The 22404-nt window shown below is 38.3% G+C and overlaps 1 long non-coding RNA gene across 1 annotated transcript in view, besides 2 other annotated features; it reads left to right on the plus strand.

The window, feature by feature from the left end:
• Nucleotides 1-22404, plus strand: part of CAVIN2-AS1 (CAVIN2 and TMEFF2 antisense RNA 1) — a 217342-nt gene that overhangs the window by 943 nt on the left and 193995 nt on the right. The window lies entirely within an intron of this gene.
• Nucleotides 19593-19887: an enhancer, noted in NCBI's record as "tiled region #6341; K562 Activating DNase unmatched - State 5:Enh, and HepG2 Activating DNase unmatched - State 1:Tss". NCBI's record gives its function as "activates a minimal TATA promoter and a strong SV40 promoter by Sharpr-MPRA in K562 cells, with weak activation in HepG2 cells {active_cell/tissue: HepG2 | K562}" and the evidence as "EXISTENCE:reporter gene assay evidence [ECO:0000049][PMID:27701403]".
• Nucleotides 21833-22127: an enhancer, noted in NCBI's record as "tiled region #2977; K562 Activating DNase unmatched - State 8:EnhW". NCBI's record gives its function as "activates a minimal TATA promoter and a strong SV40 promoter by Sharpr-MPRA in K562 cells {active_cell/tissue: K562}" and the evidence as "EXISTENCE:reporter gene assay evidence [ECO:0000049][PMID:27701403]".

A 22404-nucleotide genomic window follows, 5' to 3' on the forward strand; every position in this document is an offset into this window, starting at 1 on the left:
ACGGAAAGTATTGTTTGCATTTGCCCTAGAACTGACTGATGGGTTGCAGAACACCGGGTGTCCTACTGGGAGGCATAGAGTTTAAAGGGTACTGCAGCCAAGTTTGTATTATTAGTTTCTCATTTGCAAAGGAATGGGACTAACTCTGATAATGATAAGGAAAACAGCTCAGTTCTTATTACTCTTGCAGTTGCAGATACAAAATAAGTTAAAAGAGATTGAACTTCAGGGATATTTAAAAAAAGTAATACTGCTGTTATGACTGTTATGTAATATATGGAAACTTTTTGAATGACCACATTTAAAAAAATGATTGTTTTTTTCAAGAAGTGAGACTGAGGAAAAATAAAATGTGGTCTTTTTAAGAACCTACCGTGATGATTTGTTTTAACTAACTTTGAGTTGGTGAGGAGAGACTTTCTCAAATGCCCATCTCTGCAAGGCATTTATTGACACGTGCCCAGAAGTGTCTGTTGGCAGGCTGAGTTGGAGTTTCTCAAGTGGTTCTAATGTTTGACATTTTAAAATTCCTGCTCAGTGAAGTGGCACACCTGTTCTCAAATGTGGCCCTCCTCAGCTGAACCTTGGGATGTGGGGCTTATTTTCCTAAAATGGCTTTACATGCTTGAGTTGATTTTAAACGTATCCAGCCTTTGAAAGTGCTTTCAGCAGGAAGTTTGTAATAGGCCTTCTATGAACAATTTTGAGACGAACAAATGCCAGCTCATACCAGGTCAGGGATTGATAATGGAACAATGCCATTCGTCAATAGTAACACCTACATGTAAGCCAATCAATCAGCAGGCCATTGGTTATCACGTTGGTTGAATCTCTGCCTTCTGCTATATGCATGAAGCACTATCCAGAAGACATTGGCAAAGCATGACGGAGACCCTGCTCTCAATGAGTATAGCTGCCAGTTAGGAAGATGAACTAAAGATATTTACAGAGGCCTTCAATTTCTTCAGATAATTGGTGCCACCAAAACCCACTTAAAGCAAATGCTTTAAAAATAGAGACCAAAAAAGGTGAAAAGAAGGTTTGGTTGAGATGTTATCTTTTAAAAAAGTAAGAACATTATTAAAATTAATTTACCTTATATTTAATAAAATTTAGTTGGTCAAAAATGTGTTAAATATTAGAATAAAGGATGAATCAAGTGTTGATTTTAAGAAGCATAATTTTCTAACAAAATTATATGATATCATGACACGACGTCCTTTTACATTTGACTTTTGTGGGCAAATCATAGAGTGTCACTATTTCAAAAATATTTGAGGGCTTCATCAATTTTCCAAGAGCCTCTCTTAAATTTTGACATTCAAATCATTTCTTTTTGAAGCACTTATTGTGCCATCATCCATGTAGATTTGTTCTTCTTCAAATGTTAATGTTAACTATTCCAGCTGCAGATTCTCATTTGTCAGAGGAGTTGCCCATGATTCAAGGGCTTCTCTAACATTACCTTCATCAACTTCATGATTTCCTACATATTTTGCAAAATTTGCGATTTCACATTATAATCACTTCACCCTGATTTTGCATTGATTTGCGCTGATTTTGCATTGCATTGTTGGATATTGTATAATCAGCTAGATGAATAGAGACATTAAAGAGATGGGGTGTGAGGTGGTAAAAGGAAAGAGGCTAGTTGTTAAATAGAAAGAAAGGTTTGCGTGTGGGCTTATTTATTTTTAAAATATATATTTTGAATAACACAAGTAATATCAGTCATCTATTGCTGTGTAACATACCAGCATGAAACTCAGTGGCTTAAAATAACGTTTTATTTACTCATGATTCTGTGGTTGGCTAGTCAGGGCTCAACTAGAATGGATTATTTCTGCTAGGCATATGCATTCATCTGTAGTTTGAGCTGAGGAATCTGAGATGGACTCATTCACGTGTCTGCCTCCTCAGCTGGGGCAACTAGGATATTGGGATTTCTCTCTTTTCCATTTTTCAGCCTCTGGGGCCTCTCCATCTGATCTCTCTAGTAGGGAAGTCAAACTTTTTTTACATGGTACTTCAGGGTTCTAAGAGAGTAGAAGCAAAGCTGCAGGGTGTCTTAAGGCTGCAGGGTATCTCTGGAACTCTCCCCTTGTCACTTCTACATTCTGTGTTCCAAGTAGGTCACAGGCCAAGATCAGATTCAAGGGGTGGAAATAGACTCCACCTCTTTAAGAGAGAGAAGCAGTAATGTCCCATGACAAAAGGGTGAGCCGCTTGGGAGAGACTGTTGTAGTCACCTTTGAAAACAATCACCACGTGAATAGATTGTTCTTTTAAAAGGCTATCACAGATAAAGTGGAGCCCCTTTTGATCACCATTTCCATTTTATTCCCTTCCCTCTCTTGTCAGGTAATCATTTTAATGAATTTGGCATATATCCTTTAAAAATTATATTTAAAAGTGATCAGTTCATTAGTGAATAGTTTCATGCTGTGATGCAATTTGTTTTGTTGGACAACCTTACAATCAGGGGAGCTAGAAGGAGCTATGTAATGGGAACATACAAGATGGCCTGAAACTAAGTAATAGACTACCCTGAGCAGCCAGACTTACCATTTAGTTGTCCTAAATTAAGTCTTCTTTCTGTCTGAGAGAAATCAGTGAATTTCAGCGGTCAGTTCTTAAAAGAAATGCTTAAAATAATTAATTCTACCTACCACATATTATGAAGTTTCTTGGAAATTAGGTAGTGGAGTTTAGACTTGATACAGTGACAGGCTGGGGAGGTTTTTGAACACGTGAAGGTGATGTGTTTAAGAAGAATCTGTACAGCAATAAGATGTAGAGATGGGTCACTTGGCTGGTGGGAAATAAGTGCTAGGCACTGGGGATGCAAAGATGAATGGTGTGTATTTGTTACCCTTTAAAATCTCCCACCTTAGGAGGATAGGTAGGTAGACAAATCCTAGGGATAGAGGTACAGGTGTGGGCACAGAGAGGGAATGATTAGCTCTGCTGGAGTCTAGGACCATGAAGGCTTTAGTCATGACAGGGTATGGTTAGGACTCAGAATCCTCCAGCTGATCACCAGCTCCCCCGAACACCAGTTAACCTCAGAGGTTTAAGTCACAGAAGCACAGAAGTCATTCCAGGAAAATACCTACTTTATTATCAGTTAAGGAATTGGTCCCAATTTCTATGTGGTTTCCTATTCTGAACCACTAGCCCATAATTCCTAGACCAGAGGCAGCTCAGTGGTCTCTTTTGTTGACCTTTTCCATGTAGGTCCATAAAGTAATCTGGGCACTCTTGGTCTGACAGCAATAGGAGACCTGGAATGAGGATCCCACAGAAAAGAAAGCCCTTTGCCCCAGTGGCTAAAGAAACAAAGAAAGCTAAGCAGGCTACTCCATATATATTTTCCCCTGTCCTCTATGTTGGAGTTTGAAAGCCTTTCAAAGGGTGGGTTTCCTCTTGAACAGGAGGCAGTCCTAGGGTTGTATATTCACCATATGGAAAGAAAGAAAAACCATGTGATGACACATCCACGTGTTTTATGTCATCGAGTTTTGGGGTGATTTTTTAATGCAACAGTAGATAACTGGGAACTGTAGTTTGCAATGACAGTGTAATTCTAAAATAATTATTGTTAATAGTCTAGGTTTGTTCCTAGAACCCCTCTATCTAATATGTTTTATGCATACTACTGTTTCCAAAACTTAACTGCTAAGGTAGTGTTATAAAGCAAAATAAAGGACTTTGTGTGATTATTCTCACCTTAAGAAAAACTTAACACTGGGTTTAATACCAAAAGGTGGTAGGAAAAAAGCATATTACCAGGATAAAATGCATTATGCAGAAAGGAAGGTGGAGTTGAAAGATCATCTGACCCTATCTGGGCGAACTCTATATCGAGTCATTGAATCCTGCAGTGGGTGTGGATAGAAAGTGAGGGTGCAGTTTGCAGAATGCCTGAACGTCTTGCCTTATCTTTTTCTACGGCAGTGAAGAGGAATCAAGTGTTTACTTTCACTAGAAATATTAATGATGAAAAGCACATGATTATATGATTCGAATCTCTTCCAACCAAAGTCCTTGTGTATCAATGATGTCAGTAAGAAGTAGAGAAATGTATAAGGAAATCCTACATAAATGAGTGATGAAGCATAAATAATGTATAGTGTTTACATATAAGGTAAATTTTACCCACTTCCCATGTGCTGTCATTTAGGAACTCCAAGATTTTAGAAAACTCTAGAGGAGCTTACATTCTCAAGGCCTTCTCTGGCTCTTGGGTTTAAATAAGTGTTTCTCTATGTGCCATATCTGTACTTCTCCATAACTGCCCGGTTGTAAACTCCAACCCCTTCTTTAAGTATCATACAATCCACTCACATAAAGTATTTCTAAGTGGAGTAGATGTTAATGAAGTTTTAGAGTCACAGTTAGGAAGATTTCTGACATCTTGCTGGTTTTTCTCCTCCTAGTTTTCTTTCTTCTGTTTTCTCCTTACCTCCATCCACTCTCTGTATCATGAAAAGAAATATTACTCAAACACTGGACATTAGGTTTTATGTTCTACCCCAAGAAGATATGTTATTATTATCATAAAAGAAAGTTTTCTCCCTTTCTAAGAAGAATTCTGGTGCTCTGGTGCCAGTTAACTCTTTTTTACTTTTTTTTTTGTTTTTGTCAAGAACACAGGTAGGAAGACACATTAGAACATTGTTCCTTCATAAGTCATTCATTTAACAAATATTATTGAGTAAATATTAAGTGCTAGGAATACAGCAGTGAACAAGAGACAAAGCCCCTGTTCTTATGGAGCATATATTTTTGGCAGGGGGAGGGGTGTGAGATTGGAAACAGATAATAAATAAAACACAATGTAATATCAGATAATGATAAACACTAGGAAGAAAACTAAAGCAGACTAAGCGGCCTGAGAGTGATGAGGATGCTATCTTAGGGTGGTCAAGGAAGTCCTCTTTGAACCAGGACCATTTAAGCAGAGATATGTTGCAGGAATCTGGATGAGAGGAAAGGGCTTTCTTCTGTAGCAATTTGTCGTTTTTAACATGGTGATATAGTTTTAGTTGGGCACATGGGCATCCAGCTAAAGACAACACTTCCCAACCTTTCTTTGAGCTGGGTGTGGACGTTTTACTGACTTCTGTTCAATAGATGTGAAAAGTGATATGGGCCCCTTCCAAATGCTGCCCTTCAAATAATTAGTTGTGTGCCCTGTTGATTCTTACCTTCTTTTCCCCGTATTTCTTTTTTTTTTTTTTTTTTTAAGGAGATGTCAAAAGCTGACTGTCGACACAGAAATAGAAACCATTGACTTAATGATTGAAGATGGCAGCTCTTCCTGCTCTCTCACTCTTGTCCCCTTACCTCTCTCTCCCGCCACCTTTTCTCATTGCCCTTGGTCAACAGAGTAACAGTTAAGAGCATGGACTCTCAAACCAGATTTCCCAGTTTCTGATTCCAGCAAGGTTGTATGACCTTGGACAAATTGCTTTTCCTTTGTAGGCCCCAGGTTCTTATTATAAAATGAGGATAATGATAATTCTTACTATTATGGGTTGTTACAGAGATTAAATGAGTTAATATTTGTGAAATATTTGGACCAGTGCCTGGAACAGGTAAGCAGCACATGTGTTAAATACATAAATTAAATAAAAACCCTTACTAATATAACTATTTAGTTCAGCCTCATGGCTTTGAAGGTGTGACTTTATTTCTTTTCAAAAATATGTTGATATCTTGTATTGCATATGCCATAGTAAAAATTAATGCCTCTTCTGCTGTCTCTATCTGCCCTGTTCATTCACTCAGTACTGTGTGGCGTACCTTAGGGAAATATATGGGAGTGCCTTGGCCTTTCTTACACATAAGTTAATCAACTGCCTTAAGTGAATTGCTATATGCTCAGCACAGACTTAGACTTTCAGACAATATGAAATAAATATAAATCAACATCTTCATCCTGGAGAGGTTCAGAGTCTTACAGGAAGAGCAAGATTTACGCACAAGAAACAGTTAGAAGACAATACAAGGCAATACCTGATGAAGTGTTGAATTTGTCCTTTTTTAGTTTCAGGAAACACTTAATATCACAATAACCCTTAGTTTTTGTTTTTCATTGCAGACCCCTAAAGCAAACAGGAATTGAGGCAAAGAGCTTTAAATTAAAAGGATAATTTAGTAATAATGCTTTTCTTATAATACAGCATTTTTCATATATGATGTCTTGAGATACTGTAAAACCTTGGAAAATAATGCTTGAAGGAAATGGGTGGGTATCTATTGTTTTTCCATGACCAAATTGATGCTTAGGGGAAGTCTAGGGCTCTGCAAAGAACAGCAAGATGAGCAGATAGATATAATATGCTCTTCCTTCCCCGGCTAGAGGCAGCGTTTCCACCCTTTTCCTCAGTTTTCCTTTCCCTGTCTCGTGACACCTAACTGCTGTTTATTGAATCTTAAATCTCTCCCATGAAGGCGATTTTAGAGATTCCTTTGGTCACGTTTCAGCGTTTAATAAGCCTTATTTTGAAATTGTTAGTTTTGAGGTCTATCTTGTGAATTTGTTCTTTGAAGTTTCATGATAGATGGATGTCAAGAAGTCATAAAATTCTGTCCTCTATTAAAGCAAACAAACAAGCCCATAAAAGCCAAGGACAACAACGGAAATGTGTTACCCTGTCTGAAAAGAAAGTTATATTAATTTGAAAGCTTTAGAGAAGGAAATTCTAAAACCATTTTGCTAACCAAGTCTGTTATATGTCAGGAAGTTCTTCATAAATGATTTAAATCCTTATCATAGCAACATAAAACCATTTCCTCTCATTCTGCTGTTTTTTGAGTTAATGAATAGTCATATAATGTATTTTTATGAACTACCTATTGTCATTTTTCTGTAATTACTACATATTCATATTAAAATTTAGGATTCCTGGTTAAATCAAGGCTATCTGGATAGAACCCACTGCTTATAAATAACTTTGTATCAAAAATATTTTGGCAATGCAACTTGATTCAGCAATAAAATATTTTTGTAGGTGAATAATGGTGGCAGCTAGAAGCATTTGCCTGGTGGTTTACACTTAGGAAGTACTTGAACTATCTTGAATTATCTCTGAATGCTAAAAATGTGTGATTCCAAATTCCTTTCCCTCTGGCCTCACATTTGTTGGCTTCAAAGAACTATTGTCTTAGTGGAAGCTATGGCTCTATTCCAGTTGAAAAAATAAATAAATATTGAGCGAGCCAGAAATCCAGGTAACAAGCAGAGGTGACAAGAGCAGAGGGAATAAGGGTTTGGCTGACTGTCCTCATGTACCTGACTGCTTCATTAAAACATATTTTCAGTATCTCCTCCTAAAACAATTATGGGCTGTTGCACAGGCACAGTCATCATATCAGGGCTGATTAACACAAAACATGATGGAATTTATTATAATGTGAAAGGAATTTCGTGTCTTTGGGGCTTACTTTCCTCATTTGTAAAACTGGTCTCTGATTTCGGAGGCCTTTTCCAGTGATATTATTTTATAATTTAATGAACACTTTAACACATTTTTTTGCAGAGTAATTTTGTTAGTATTGTCTCGCATTCTCAACTTTAAAAACAGAAACAATACAGCATTTTTTGGTCACTAGATTTCACCTCTTCTCACAGTCGAGGTAGTTTGACAAAGTGTAGTGTTTCAGTGGACTGAGAAATCAAAAGACCTGAACTAGATTTTTGGCTCTGACACTAACTGGATGACATTGAACACTCAACCTTGTGGGCACTGGCTTTCCTTATTTATAACATGAATGGTTTCACTGTATGATCTAATTCAATTCAACAAACAGTTATTAATTGCTTCCTGAGTTTAAGACCTTTGAATAGGACATAAGGGTGAAGTTGGGGAAAATACAAATTAAAAGCATGGAGAAAGAAACTGTTAATGAAATATGCGGCCAGTGAGAGAAAAGGACAGAGTTAAGCATTACAATAGAAAAAAACCAAAGTTCTAGGAGCACAAAGGAGGCAATGAATACATTTCGAAGTTTTCAAGTATTATGAAAGATAATGTTAACCTATAATGGAAGAGCCCTTCAGGGAAAGATGTATTTGGCCTGCATTTTGGACACCGTAGCTAGCGGATATAGTTCATTGCAGCAGCTACTTAGAGCCACAATCTACTATGGTGATTAGGCATGTCCATCTCTCGCTGCTAATTTCACTCCTCTGCAGGGTGTAAGAGAAATGAAAACGTGGGAAGATAGAGTTTTTCCAGTTCAGGGATTGACCTTTAAAGGAATCAGGGCAGAGAGAGGGTTATGTCAGTAGAGTAAATGAGTGTAAATATCCCTGACATAAGATTGAACTAATTAAGTTTAAATGGGAGGGAGCCTGATCTAAATTAGAGAAAAATATTATCTAAATTATAGGATCTTTCTTTCAAAAAATGCAATGTAATTATATTATTTTCAAGTATATGTGGTAAGTTGAACTAATTGCTAGAAAAACATTTCTAAGTTTAAGTGCTATTGGAATCTTCTTTTAATGAATAGATAAATTTGGATTCATGCGGACTATCCTTTGGAATGCATATAATTTATGTGTTAATATGTTTGAAACAAAATGGCTAATCAAGCTCTTTAAATTTTGTTCATGCTGCTAATTTGTTTAGTGACCCCCTTTATATAAATAGTTCAGAGGTAAACTCAAGTCCAATATGGTTCTAATTTTCAAAAGTTCGTTACGAATTAGTGGAGTCTGAATGAATGCTGTCTCACTCAGGTTCTTATGTGCTAGAAATGGTGCAACTTGTTGACAATCAGATCTGGCACTGTTATCCCTAAAAAGCTGTCGATAAAATCAAATCATAAAGGGAGACCAGCTAACTGCTTCAGGCTGTCATATACCATGTCATAGTAAGGGACATGACTGATGAGGTTCTGGAGGCTCTTTTTGGACACAAATATATTGATAGCAGTTGGAAGATGGAAGTAAAACAAAGTGGTCAGGAGAGTTCCTCACAGTGTCTGTTCAAGCTTAGCTATTGTTCAGGTAGGAAGAAGGTCAGATCCAGGCAAGAATTAAGGAGAAGCCGAGATGACAAAAGTTTAAAAGAAATCCTGAAAGAGGAAGCAGTCTGGATGCAGGAGCAGGCAGAAGCAAGGAGATACCGGGTGGTTTTCTTGAAGAGCATTCAAAACATGGGAAACGCCATGTGAAATTCTGGGGTCAGCTTTTTGAGCTAATCACACTGGTATTCATAATGGCAGGAACTGTTGTGAGCTGATCTTTGACTCTGCCTCCCAGAGTCACATGGTCTAAAATACCCAAATCTCCAGTATGTAGGTCCAGAAATGTAATCTTATCCGCTCATTCTTAGATAATATTTGGGGAAAATTAACTCACTCTACTGAAACTCACAGGAGAGAAATATATGAATCCAAGTATCTGTGTATTAATTAATAAAAAGAGAGCTAATTGGTATAACAAAGCACAGTGGCCATTTTGGAAGCCTAGTAAATGCTAAGATGGCATAAAAGAAGATTGATATTCCCGAGAAATGTTTTATTGAGTTGTGGGTAACTATATGTACTGATCTTTCATATTTTGGGTACATTATGCCTTGCCATGGGGGGTTTCATGAATCTGTAGAGAAATGAAAAAAATAAGGGCAATACAGTGGACTTACCATAAAACTAAATGTATTTAATTTAGAAGAATGTGCTTTATTTTTGATTATGTCATTGTTATTACTGATGTCAAAATGTTGATTTTAAGACATTATAGTACAATTTTTTTTAAATTACTTTTAACTTTACAGAATAAGAATACTGGCGACCCTATCAGGTCCCAATTTTTCCTTTTTTGGAGTGTGATTTGATTTATGGTTTCATGAAATCCCAAAGTCTGAGAACCCCTGGCTTAGAAAACTTCAATAAGATTTGTCTACCAATGGTTTTCATTTATTCATCCACAGAGTGAAATGCATTATCATATCAAAAAGTACATGCACACTCAGACATACATGAATATGTAAATATTTATAATAGAAACAGAAGTTTCACAAAACAATACTTAATCTTACCTCATTCAGTGTACTCTGATCTATTTCATTTTACTTGTTAAAAATGTCAGTTGCTATCCAATAATTTGATTTCATGACCTACTAATGAGTCACAACCCACAATTTGAAAAACACTGTTGTAGACCCAGAGTCCTCTCTTCCCAGGACGTAGCTGAATAAACACTGACAGGTGTTTCCTTTTTGGATCTCCTTTTCTAGATTCCACACAGACCATATCCCTTCTGGTGCACATTTGTTGCCCTGGATAGGTTACAATACAATTGATTAAATACAAACTTTCTATATGTTAGCTGTAATTCCGCCCTTAGGATACACCCTTGTCACCTTATTTAGTTTGAGAAATATTCTCTACTTTGTTTGGATTTAGAAGTCACTTTGGTCTTATTTTTACAAAACAAGGAAGTCCCCTGGTCTTATTAGCCCCACTTTTACAAAATACTTATTACAATAGGTTATAATGTAGACAAGCAATTTGCACTCATTTTAATTAATTTTTTTTAGCCTCAATTGCAGAGCATAACATTTTAGTTACTAATCAAATTTGAGATTTGGGTAGGGACGGGAGAGAACATCTTACTCCAGCCCTGGCCACTGGCCAAGCAATGGAAGATAACTAGACAGTCCAGAGGAAAAGAAAAAAGGCAACTAAAATGAATTACATTAATGATGACGTTAAAATGTCCAAATGTACGTTACATAGTTTAGCTATGTAAACTTGACACCAGAGTAATGAGGAACAGAATATATGCTATGTATGTTTTGGAGTAAGTATTATTTTATTTTGGATCATAGGTTTGATACCAGTGCAGCAGTGTCATGTGCTGGTTGAGTGTGGGCTGTGGTGCCAGACTGTCTGGGAAAAGGTCCATGTATTGAGGCCCCATTTTAGGATAAAGGGACTAAGCCTTACAAGGGTTAAGTGACCTTGTGCAAGTCTCTTAACCTCTCTGAGATTTAGCTATAAAATGAGTTATAAAATGAGAAACATTAAGAGTACCTACTTCATGGGGTTGGTCTGAGGGTTAAATTAGTTCTACATGTAATGTGCTTGGTCTAATGCCTTTCGTGTGGTTAAAAACTCAGTGCATTTTAGTCGTCATTGCAATCATCTTACAGCTAGTGGTTCACAGGCTGGGATTTAGAGTCAGTTACCTAGATTCGAGTTCCAGCTTATTATTCTAGTTGTATAATATTGAGAAAATTACTTAATCTTTTGAAGCCTCACTTTTCTTATTAAATAAAACTGTGCTAATAATAATACCTATTGTGGTGTTAATGTTTTGTGGATTTGATGACACCACAGAGTGCCTATTACATACAGCTCAATAAATACTAGTCAGCTAGCCAAAATTACCTATGCTACCTCATTTTGCATGTATTCACTTCATATAGTCTTTCTGCTGTATATTTCATCATTCAGATCTTGACTTATACATCAGAGGTCTTGGATAGAGTACAATTTAATTGCTGTTTATCTTTATGTCCTCCTAACAGGAGACAACATTCTACCCTAAAAGAATCAAACAAACATGAAACTTTAAATAAAGTTGCAGCATTCATTTCAATTCAATAACTGTCTTTTTGAATTTCCATTATGTGCTAAGTGTGAGTCCTATAAGACACATTTCCACCTGGCAAAGGTTGAAGAAAAGCCAAATTTAAAAGGCTACTATAATTAGAACTTTCGCTAACGGCAGTTAAACCGATTAATGTCCAATGGGACCCACTCTACTGAAACATATTTTTTAGGCAGTTATACATTTATATTAAATTAAACATTCAGTGAATAAATGAGCTTATGTATCAGTGTCTCCATGTGGTTCTTGGAGTTAATTTTGTAATGATATAGCCAGTGCCGCTGAGGGCATCTCCCTTGCTGTTTTCTCTGCCTGGAGTTCTTCCTATTCATTCTCATATGGCTGGCTTTTTTCCCTCTCATTATTCAGCTAGTCTTCCCTGACCATCCTACCTTATAGGGGTGCCATCCTCAGTCTTTCTCTCCCTGAGCACCCTGTTGCATACTCTTCACATACCACTGTGTAATTGAAATAATACTGTTTGTGAGCTGCTCTTTGCCTGTGTCACTCACTAGATCTAAAGCTCCAGGAAGGCAGGGACTTTGTCTATATTTTTCATGGTTTGTATTATGTTTCTATTATTTGTAACAAATTACCATAAACTTAGCAGTTTAAAACAACGCACAGTTATTGTCTCACAGTTTCTGTGAGTCAGGAGTCCAGGGTTAGATTTGCTGGGTTTCACTAGGGTTAGCTCAAAATTTCACCAGGCAGATATCAAGGTATTGGCTAGGCTGCAGTCTCATCTAAGACTTGGAGTCCTCTTTTGAGGTCATTCAGGATGTTGGCACATTTCAACTTCTTGTGGCTGTAGAACTAACATCCTTTTTTTCTTGCTGGCTGTAAACCAGGGTGAGGGGGAGTGCTCTCAGTTCCTGGAGACTACCCAAGGGTCTAGACATGAGACATTCTTACAACATGGCAGTTTATTTCTTCAAGGCCAGCAGGAGAGTCTCCTATCTCTAGACCCTCTTTTAGGGGTTTGCCTAATTAGGCCAAACACACCCAGGATAATCTCCTTGTCATTAACTCAGAGTCAACTGATTAGAGACCTTAATTACATCTGCAAAATATCTTCACCTTTGCTACTTAATGTAACGTAATCAGAGGAGTGATATCTCATCATATTCACAGGTGTCACCATACTCGAGGGGTGAGGATTATACAGGGCAGGTAGACCAGCGGTGGGGATCCTGGAGGCCACCTTATAATTCTGCCTACCCACTGTTGTAGCCCATTTAAATGACAGTAGGTATTTAAACACATATTTGTGCATGAATGAGTGAATGAATGAGTAAATGTCAATTAAATAAATAAGAACGGAGGAATCAGTGAGAAATGTAAATAAACTGTTGGTTGTGTTCAGATATATGTTTAGCATCCTATATTGAGTTCAAAACAATCTTGTGATTGGATTGTCCACTTAATTCACTTTTCTTACTGAGGGACTTGTGACTATTACACCGTGTAAAGAGGAATCAAGTAGTATTTTTTGTATTATATTAGCAAAGTTTCTGTAGTATAGTCTTGATTAATATTTCTAACCAAAGGTCTTATGCAGATGAAGTTGTTAAACCTGAGGATACTAGAATGGCTTGCACATGAAAGCCCGGTTTATCATTAGCAAATCAGGATTAATTGATATTAGAACTTGGACTTCTGCTGTCTGTCATTGGAAATTTAATATTCCACTGTTTCCTCAAAACCAGAGAGAAGGAAGGCATTTTAATTTCTAGGAGAAATAATACAAAATTAGGTTCAGAAAAATGTTTTCCTGACTGTAGCTAAGATACTACTTTGTGGAATGACCCTGTAAAGGAAATGTAGGCACTCCTATTATTTGAGATATAGGAAACTACAGGGATGGGGCAGGCATAGGATAGTGTATTAGGCTACTCTAGCTGCCATAACAAAATACTACATGCTGGGTGGCTTAAAAACAGATATTTATTTTCTCACAGTTCTGGAGGCTAGAAGTCCATGATCAAGGTGCCAGCAAATCCTGTTTCCAGGGAAGGTCTCTTCCTGACTTTTAGATGGCCTCCTTCTCACTCTGTCCTCTTGCAGCCTTTCCTTGGTGCACACACAGGGAGAAAGCTATGCTCTTTCTTCCTTTTCTCATAAGGACATCAATCCTCTTAGAATAGGACTCCACTTAAGGTTAAATGATTAGGACCTTGTTCAGCCTTATTATCCTTGTAGGCCCAATCTCCAAATACAGTCACCTTGGGGGTTAAGGCTTCAACATGTGAAGTTAGAGAGGACATAGTTCAGTCCACAATAGATAGCTTAGAGAGCTATGAGGAACAAAGGAATCTTTGAAAGGGAGCAGGTTCAGTAGGGGGAGTAGGATTTCAGGCTTTCGCATTGGATCACTTGCATTTGAATTCCAGCTTCATCTCTTGCTTGCATTAGGGGCAAATCCAATTCTTATGGGGCCTAGGACTTAGACAATTTTAGAAACCCTCTTTAAGATAGAGAATATAAAGTTAGGTACAGAGTCTTGGAAGGGGGCTTATGCAAATAAGGGCCTCAGAAGCTTAAACTTTATTAATTTCTCAGTAAGTTCACCTCTGTTTGCCATTGAGCTAAGGAAATTACTATATCTGAGCCTGTTTTCTCAATGATACAATGGAGACAATTATTTTAAATCACAGGGATGTTGAAAGGATTAAATGATCACTACCAAGCTCTCCCACCTGTCTATTATTATTGCTACCTTTATTATTATTGTCACCATCATTATTATTCAGCCCTTTCATTTTACAGATGATAAAACAGGCAAAAAACTATTATATGACTTGCCTTACATCATACAACCAGTGAGCTGGGAGGTTGGGCCAGAGTCACCCCTCCTGCCTCCTGGTCTACACTCTTTCCATGGCTCCACAGAGACAGCTTTTTGTACCCCTTTCCCGGTGTTCACATCCCTGAAGAGGATGTTGGAATAGTATCATAATCTTCACCTATAATATTTACTCTATAGCTACTAAAAAATGAAAGAGGTCTAAAAAGCAGAGTTAATTTGGTTGAATTTAAGCTTCTTTTTTATTTTTATATACATTGAATGGGGATAAGGTCAATGAAATATAAAGCCATAATCATTAAATACACATTCTCATCATTTGTGGAAATTTCCAATTGGAAAGCTTAGCTTCCATCTTCATTTGGAGGAAATGATGACTTGGAAACAAAGATGTTTCTATGTTATCTCATTGCGAGTGATTCCCAAGGTCCCATTTGTGAATTCTGTTAGGGACATTAGAAGACTTTCCTGGGAAAGGTCTGAGGAGTCAGTCCCAGGGGCTCTAGTCGGCCCCTTGGAAATATGCACCAGATGACAGAACTTGGCTCTTCGTTTCTCTCGTGGCTCCAAGTACATGAAAATTTTTTCATGTTATCTTGGCTCTGGGAAAACCTGTGTCTCAGAGCTGGTTTTTAACACTTTTAAAGTACAGTTAATGTTGATTCCAATGTACCTAAACATTTTTTTCCCTATGACCCACCACATATATTTTGGCTTGCTCATCAGGGCTTGGCAATCCAAATATGACTGGTGTTAGACCCAAAGATGCTAGTCCTTGAAATTAGTACAGTGGAGAATAAATAATATTTGACTCAGGCTTTAAATCTTTGGTCTGAGTCTGAAGGGAAAAAATACAACCCTGTAATAAACATTTTTCTAATTTCTTTCATTTTCAAATATGGCACCACTATAGAATTTTTGTGAAACCATCAAAACAAACCATGTAGCAATCTAATAGAATCTATACATGTGTATGGTGTAGACCAGCATGGGGCTTTCTGACTCTGCTACTGACAACAATAAGCATGGGTAAATTGTTTAACCTGTAATTCTTACTTATGTACAAATAATAACATGAGGTTTTTGAAGTTTCTAGAGGAAAAAATGTCACTTATCAATAAGATGGTTATGAATACTTTATGGTTGTTGTTATTATTGTTATTAATATACCTATCAGAAATAATGTTTTGTGGCTAGAAAACCAGTGCTAATGTTTGCCTGCAGGATCTTCATGCCGACACTCCTGGTTCATCCATCTACCAGATCTGCTAATTGTTAAACAGGCATGAACATATAATAAAACAGAACAATTATTAGAACTAAGGGGACAGCCAAGCACATTTGTCAAGGAGCCTGTCCATTCTCTTTTTCATCCTTCAAGGTGGGCAGTGGAGAGGCTGGTGGGCTATTCCTCTGAGCTCTGCCCCTTTGCCTGGCCTCCTGACTGCAGGCCCTCTGCTCTGCTGGTTTCTGGCAACCATACCTTTACCCTGCAGTTTCAGTCTCACATCTCTATTGGCACTGAGTCCTCCACATTCCAGTTTTTCAATCTTACTAGAGATGTCTATTGGCATCAGGGCTCAACTCATCTGTCCTATTGTTTTAATACCTTGCAATTGCTTGAGTTAAGAGAGTTATAAAAGTTATAAAAGTTTAAATTCCTAGTAGACACGAAGATGAAAACACCTGATTGTGAGGACTACCAGTCTTTTCTTCATAAACTTGTTCGGATAAAATCAAAAGATATGAAAAACGATCTCTTGGTCAGTAAAACATCAACGCAACTTTTTATATGTACATGGATCCAAATATTATCTTCTACGGAGGCTCCTCATTTAACGTCCATCACCATGTTAGTCTGTATGCTGATATTTGCTAGCAAAGGATTGTTTACTTCTTAATGTTTCTAAGCAGAATAGTGGGTCCAGCAGCAGTATTTTCTCAGAACTGGATTTGGGACAGTGATTCTCAGCCATATCATTCATTCAACAAATGTGAGCTAGGCACTGTTCTGGGTGCTTGGGATAAATCAGTTAACAAGACAGACCCTTCCCCCACCAAAAATTTCCTGCCCTTATGGTACTTATTTTCCATGTAACATACATATATAAAAATACAGGTGGATTTCTACACTACAAATATTTCAGTGTTTTGCTTTTGGGATGCAGCAGTTTGTGTTGCATAGGAAGTAGAGTTCCTCCCAAGAAAGTGAACATTATGTTGCAGGCTAGCTTTTCAAACAGGATTGGTTTTGGCAGGCTTCTCTTGAAATATGAGTGTGAGATAACTTCCATGCTTCTACAGAATACCAGTATGACACGCCTTTCATCTCTAGCAGGGTTGTGCTACTGGTGGAGAAATGCTACAGTCCCAGTGCAGGTTTGCATAAGCAAGATGTAGTCAGTGTTAGCTAGAGTCACCATGCAGGGCTTTCATTTATTTTTCTTTTGACAAGACGGAGTTCAAAAACAGCTTAAAAAAGTTCACTGTCACATTTCTACAAGTACTAACCACTGTGTCATTATTTTCAGTGGTAAGTATGAAAAGTTCAGGAGTAGACTTTAGACAAAACATAGAGAATTGATTGTCATTGCTTAGGAGAATTGGAAAGTAAATAATTACGCTTGAATTAAAAGAAAACTATTATCAAACACACACACACACACACACACACACACACCCCATGCTGATCCATGTCCTTTGTGTGTGCATATTTTAGGAACAGAGGAAACGTGAGTTGTGAGTGGGGGAAAATGTAAGGTATCCCCTCGCTTGAGAACCAGTAATCTTTTAGATGCCTCATAAATGCACAAGATGGTCCCTGGGCTGGATTTTTAAATTTCCGAATTAGCTGAAACAGTTGTAAAATCACAGGGAGCCAGACAGTTTACAATCAACTGCAAATCAAAGGAGGCTCCTCTATGTTGTTTGTTCTAGCAGGCACAGGGAATGTATTGAACTTGCGAAATGTGCTTTTCATATCCCTGTGATTACAACCTCCTACCTTTCCAACCCTCATTTTTCTCTTCTTACCCCAGAATCAGACAGAGTTAAAATCTTCAGCACCAGGAGCATCTAGGAGGCGGCTTTCAAGACAGGCTGTGATGGCTCATTGAGTGCACCTGGTCTGTGTTCCTAGTTAGATCCTACACATACCCAGTCCTGACATCAGAGCTGATTTCTGTCAGCTCTAATGTGCCTGAAAAATTTCTTTCAAGGCAGTTTCCTCTTCTAACACATCCCCGGGGAATTTCCCCTAGGGGGTGTGAGGCAACATTAGATTGTGACTATGATAAGATATTCCTGTGTTGGAAGAGTTTTGTATGAAAAGCAGCACATTACATCTGTTGTTTTCTTTATATAGGGTATATTTCACACTGAATGATACTGGAACACAACCCAGGACTCTGTCTTGACTCCCCTGCAGTCTTGTACTTCCTCCTCCTCAATGACGGCAGATCCCGAAACACTTAGTGACATATGGTAGCCTATCTGTGAAGTATGCTGAATAGTACATTTGCTTTCTGACTCTGGAGTATTGTGTTTCATTTTGGGCATCATATTTTTTAAAGGAGTATTGACAAACTGGAACTCAGCCACCAGAAATCTTTTTGGAACAAGGTAGAAAAACGTAACTACATTCATGTCTGCATAACTAGTACCTGTATAGAAAAGAGCTATACAAAATGGCGAAGAGTCCGCAAAGTGCCATAAGAAACCATTGAAAGAAACTGGAGATGTTCAGCCTAGAGGGATCAATTATTATTATTATCGTTATTATTTTTTGGAGGAGGGTAGTGGCCATGATTCAAACTTTGGAAAGGCTGTCATGTGAAAATGCAAATGATTATTTTTCTTTTTCCATGCAGTTCCAGTCAGCAGAACTAGAATCAATATGTAGGATTCATGGGTAAACAGATTTTTATTCTATATAAGGACGGTCATTCTGCTTATTAGTTGTACAATGATGGAATGTATGTCTGCAAGCAAAAGCTACAAGATCTTATGGAGAAAATTCCTGCACTGAGTAAGTAGTTGAGCCAGACCTGTAAAGATTCCGTGTAATTCAAATATTCTATAATTTTCTGAATCAGGAGTTTCTTGTTCTATTTTCATTTTGACAGAGGACGGACAAAGGCTTGAAAGTCTATTTCTTTCTTCCTACATTCCTTAGTAAGATAATCGAACCAATTACATGGCTGTAATGAAGTTGGTCTTATGTCCTTTATTTTTATTTTTTAGTTGTTTTCTCTGTTTGAGTACATAATCCTATATGAAGGAAAACTTACAACATCAACCAGTTATCCATGGCTCCTCATTATTGCCTGACCAACGTTCTAAAAATCCGAACTGAGCTTGGCCATCTTGTTACCTTCTTGTTTGCAGAGCTAACCTGTGGATTTTCCTACCTAGTATACATTCCCGTAACCTCTGGTAACAGCACCCTCATTTTTCTTTGGGAGACCCCTGCAGGCTGTTTTGATGCTTCCTCGGATAAAGAATCTTGGCCTCTCCCAGGCTAACGGATGAGAACTGACTGATGCTTGGCCAAGTGTCTCTTTCTTTGAATTTGAATGTTGAGTGCTATGACACAGGACAAAGAAAAGTTGGAGCTAATTGTTTCACTACAGCTCCAAGAAGGGAATGCCCTTCAGTTCTTGTTTCCTAGGTTCACATGCAGATGGCAAATAGATCTCACAAGTTGTGTATGTTTGTTATGTAGCCATATTGCTTGATTGTTAGATGAGGAACTTGTGTCAAGATTTGGAATGTGTGACCTTGTATGTTTTCAGTGAGAAGGGAAAATGATACATATGTGGTGTGTACAATTAACCATCTTTTGGAAAGAGATTTCCATGGGTTCATTTAACTCGAGGCCTAAGGGTGTGAGAATTCCTGCTTCCTGAAGTGTTGGAAAGTTAAGGTCAAATGCTGGGTGCGTTTCAAGTTCTGAGACAATACCAGCCGATTTCAAAGCTGGTGTTTGTGTGTGCGTGCATATGTGTGTGTACAGAACTGGGGAGGAAAAGCAGCCTCTAAAACTTTGCTTTGAAAGATGCCAAAACACTGAGCCACATATTTGTGCGAGAAAGATCTGTGTGTTTGGATGAAACCTGCCTCTTTTGTAAACACAAGGCACAGAGAGGCCTGCCTCCTCTTGCCCTGCTTTTGAACTTTTGTTCACATTAGCAGTTTCCCTCACCTTGGCTCTTGAACTTCCCTTTGTAGTGAAATTCACAAGTACTGTGAACTGGCAAGAAACTGTTGGAAAGAAAGGGTGTGCTGCACTAGATTGCATTTTTTCCTGAACACTCTGAAATATCAGGAAGTATGGAACATGAGTCATCACTTTCTGTTGGAAACTTCATGACCTTTACAGAGTAGGTCAAATTCCTCCCAAGCTGTGCTTCTTCACACCCCAGTGCATGACAGTAAAAGGGCAAATCCGAGGGAGGCAGAAGCATATTCATATTTTTTCTTGCAATCTGTTACACATTATCGTTTTTTGACATACTTTGCTTCACATGACAGTACTAATGGTGGAAACTGAGGTCAAGTGTGAGAGAAACTTGCCTGGTCTACCTGGTGTGACTGTTCAAAAACTCAGTTTGGATAAACCCAGAGCCTGCTAGGATTAGGACAGTGTTGAAGGGGAGAGCATTCCACTGAGGACTTGGGGAAATAACTGAGTAAAAGGAGAAATCCCTGAGGGAAGAAGGCCACATTCCAAACTGTGAATCCCAGCCACCTTGCAAACTAGCATTTGATATTATGTACCAGGACAAAAATAGGCAAAAGTACTGCAACAGTGTTCTGGCCAGGTGCCCCTTTGTAGAGGGTTATACAGTTCTACAACTCTGCCCTCAGGCATCACCGTTTTGACCAAGGATATCAATAGAGAAGAACCTGAATTATGAAGAAAAGTTTATGTTGCATACATTATACACTTAAGAATCCAGGAATTGAGAGTGTGGTGTAAGGGAGCAGGCTGGGAAAGGTCACTGGAAAATCAACAACTTTTTGAGTTGAAGTACTCAGCCATTTGAAGACCTTGGTCATGGAAGAACCTAGCTGTGTCAACACCCTTTTTAATTCTATTGGAATATTTCATCTTCCTAAAATCATTCAGAAACAAGAAAGTCTACACAGTAAAATTTTCTTTTATTTATTTATTTATTTATTTTGAGACAGAGTCTTGCTCTGTTGCCCAGGCTGGAGTGCAGTGGTATGATCTCAGCACACTGCAACCTCTGCCTCCCAGGTGCAAGTGATTCTCCTGCCTCAGCGCCATGTGTAGCTGGGATTACAGGCACCTGCCACCACACCGGCTAATTTCTGTATTTTTAGTAGAGATGGGATTTGGCTAGGCTGGTCTCGAATCCCTGACCTCAAGTGATCTGCCCGCCTTGGACTCCCAAAGTGCTGGGATTACAGGTGTGAGCCACTGTGCCTGGCCGTAGTAAATTTTTCTTATCTAAAACGAATACTTTTAATGCCTCTGGCCACTTTTTACTTTAACCGATTTCTTTTTGTCATTGTTTTTTAAGACAGGATCTCACTCTGTTGCCCAGGCTGGAGTGCAGTGGCATGATCTCAGCTCACTGCAACCTCTACTTCCTGGGCTCAAGCGATTCTCCTGCCTCAGCCTCCCTAGTAGCTGGAATTACAGGCATGAGCCAGTACACCTGGCTAATTTTTTGTATGTTTTTGTAGAGATGGGGTTTTGCCTTGTTGCCCATGCTGGTCTTCAATTCCTGAGCTCAAAGTGATCTGCCCACCTTGGCCTCCTAAAGTGCTGAGATTATAGGCATGAGCCACCACACCTGGCCTTAACAAATTTTAATACTAATCTTTCTACATGAATTACACATTTTGCTTTCATAAAAGATTTAGTTAAGATAATGTAGCATTTTCATTTTTCTATTTACTGTCAGATGCTTGGCTGTCACTTCTCATGGCTGCCACTATCTCTAATAGACTTTCTTCTGCTGTTTAATCTGCTGCTTTTCAATGGCCATGGCTAAAAATCCAACATGGCTAACTTTAGAAATTTATTTATATTGATAATATATGTCTTTGAACGGGGCAGAAGAACCTCTCTTGTCAATTTCCTGAACTTTAGTGAATGAGTTTGGTGACATGTGTTTCGCCTTCTTGGAGACCTTTAACCACATTTCATGGGTTTTTTTGTGTGTCCATCTTTGGTTCTCAGTGGGGTCCTAGACATTTGAAGTTGCCATATAAGTGATCCTCAGATAAGTATGAATTCATTGGACTGACTGCTCTTCAATGGTTAGAAAAAGAATCAAGCATATCTATGGCTGAGTTGGGAGTTGAAGTCAGCTGCAGCGTAGCTGGCAAAGTCATTAAAATGCAACAGCTTAATGGCTACTCACATGCTGACTTTCTGTGCAAGTGCAAAGGAGTCTTTCATGGTTAAGGTAGCTGTGTCAACATGAGGAGGGGCTGCAGGCAGCTCGTAAAGGTGTTGCTCACTGGGGATAGGCAGGAAGTGCAGTGTTTAGATGTAAACAGACAAGACAGAGAGGAGCCTTCTGCAGAGGGAGATGAGGACTCTGACTATGACCAACGGGTGGCGCTCTGAGCTGCTAATTGAGTCAGCCGTAAATCTGTGAATGACCTGTTCTTTGCAACTGTATTTATCAAGAAGTCAAGCGTCCTGTAAAATTTAGAGCATCTTGGAGGTGGGAGGAAGTATCCCTCTTACCTTGACCCCTACTTTTTTTTATCTTCTTTACATTTCCAGTGGAAACCCCACTTTTATTTTAGAATAAGAAAATTAAGCTGAGAACATGAGTCTGTGCTCTTGGATGAGGGGTCACCTAGAGTCTGTGACTCCAAAGCCGATATTTTTCCTATATGATAATGCTTTCAAATGTAAAATGTGTCTACAACCAAAGGTTTTCCACTAGAAGCAAAACTATCGCTAGTTTATGTATGTGAA

The sequence above is a fragment of the Homo sapiens genome, chromosome 2 (assembly GCF_000001405.40).
Source record: "Homo sapiens chromosome 2, GRCh38.p14 Primary Assembly".
Lineage (NCBI taxonomy): Eukaryota > Metazoa > Chordata > Mammalia > Primates > Hominidae > Homo > Homo sapiens.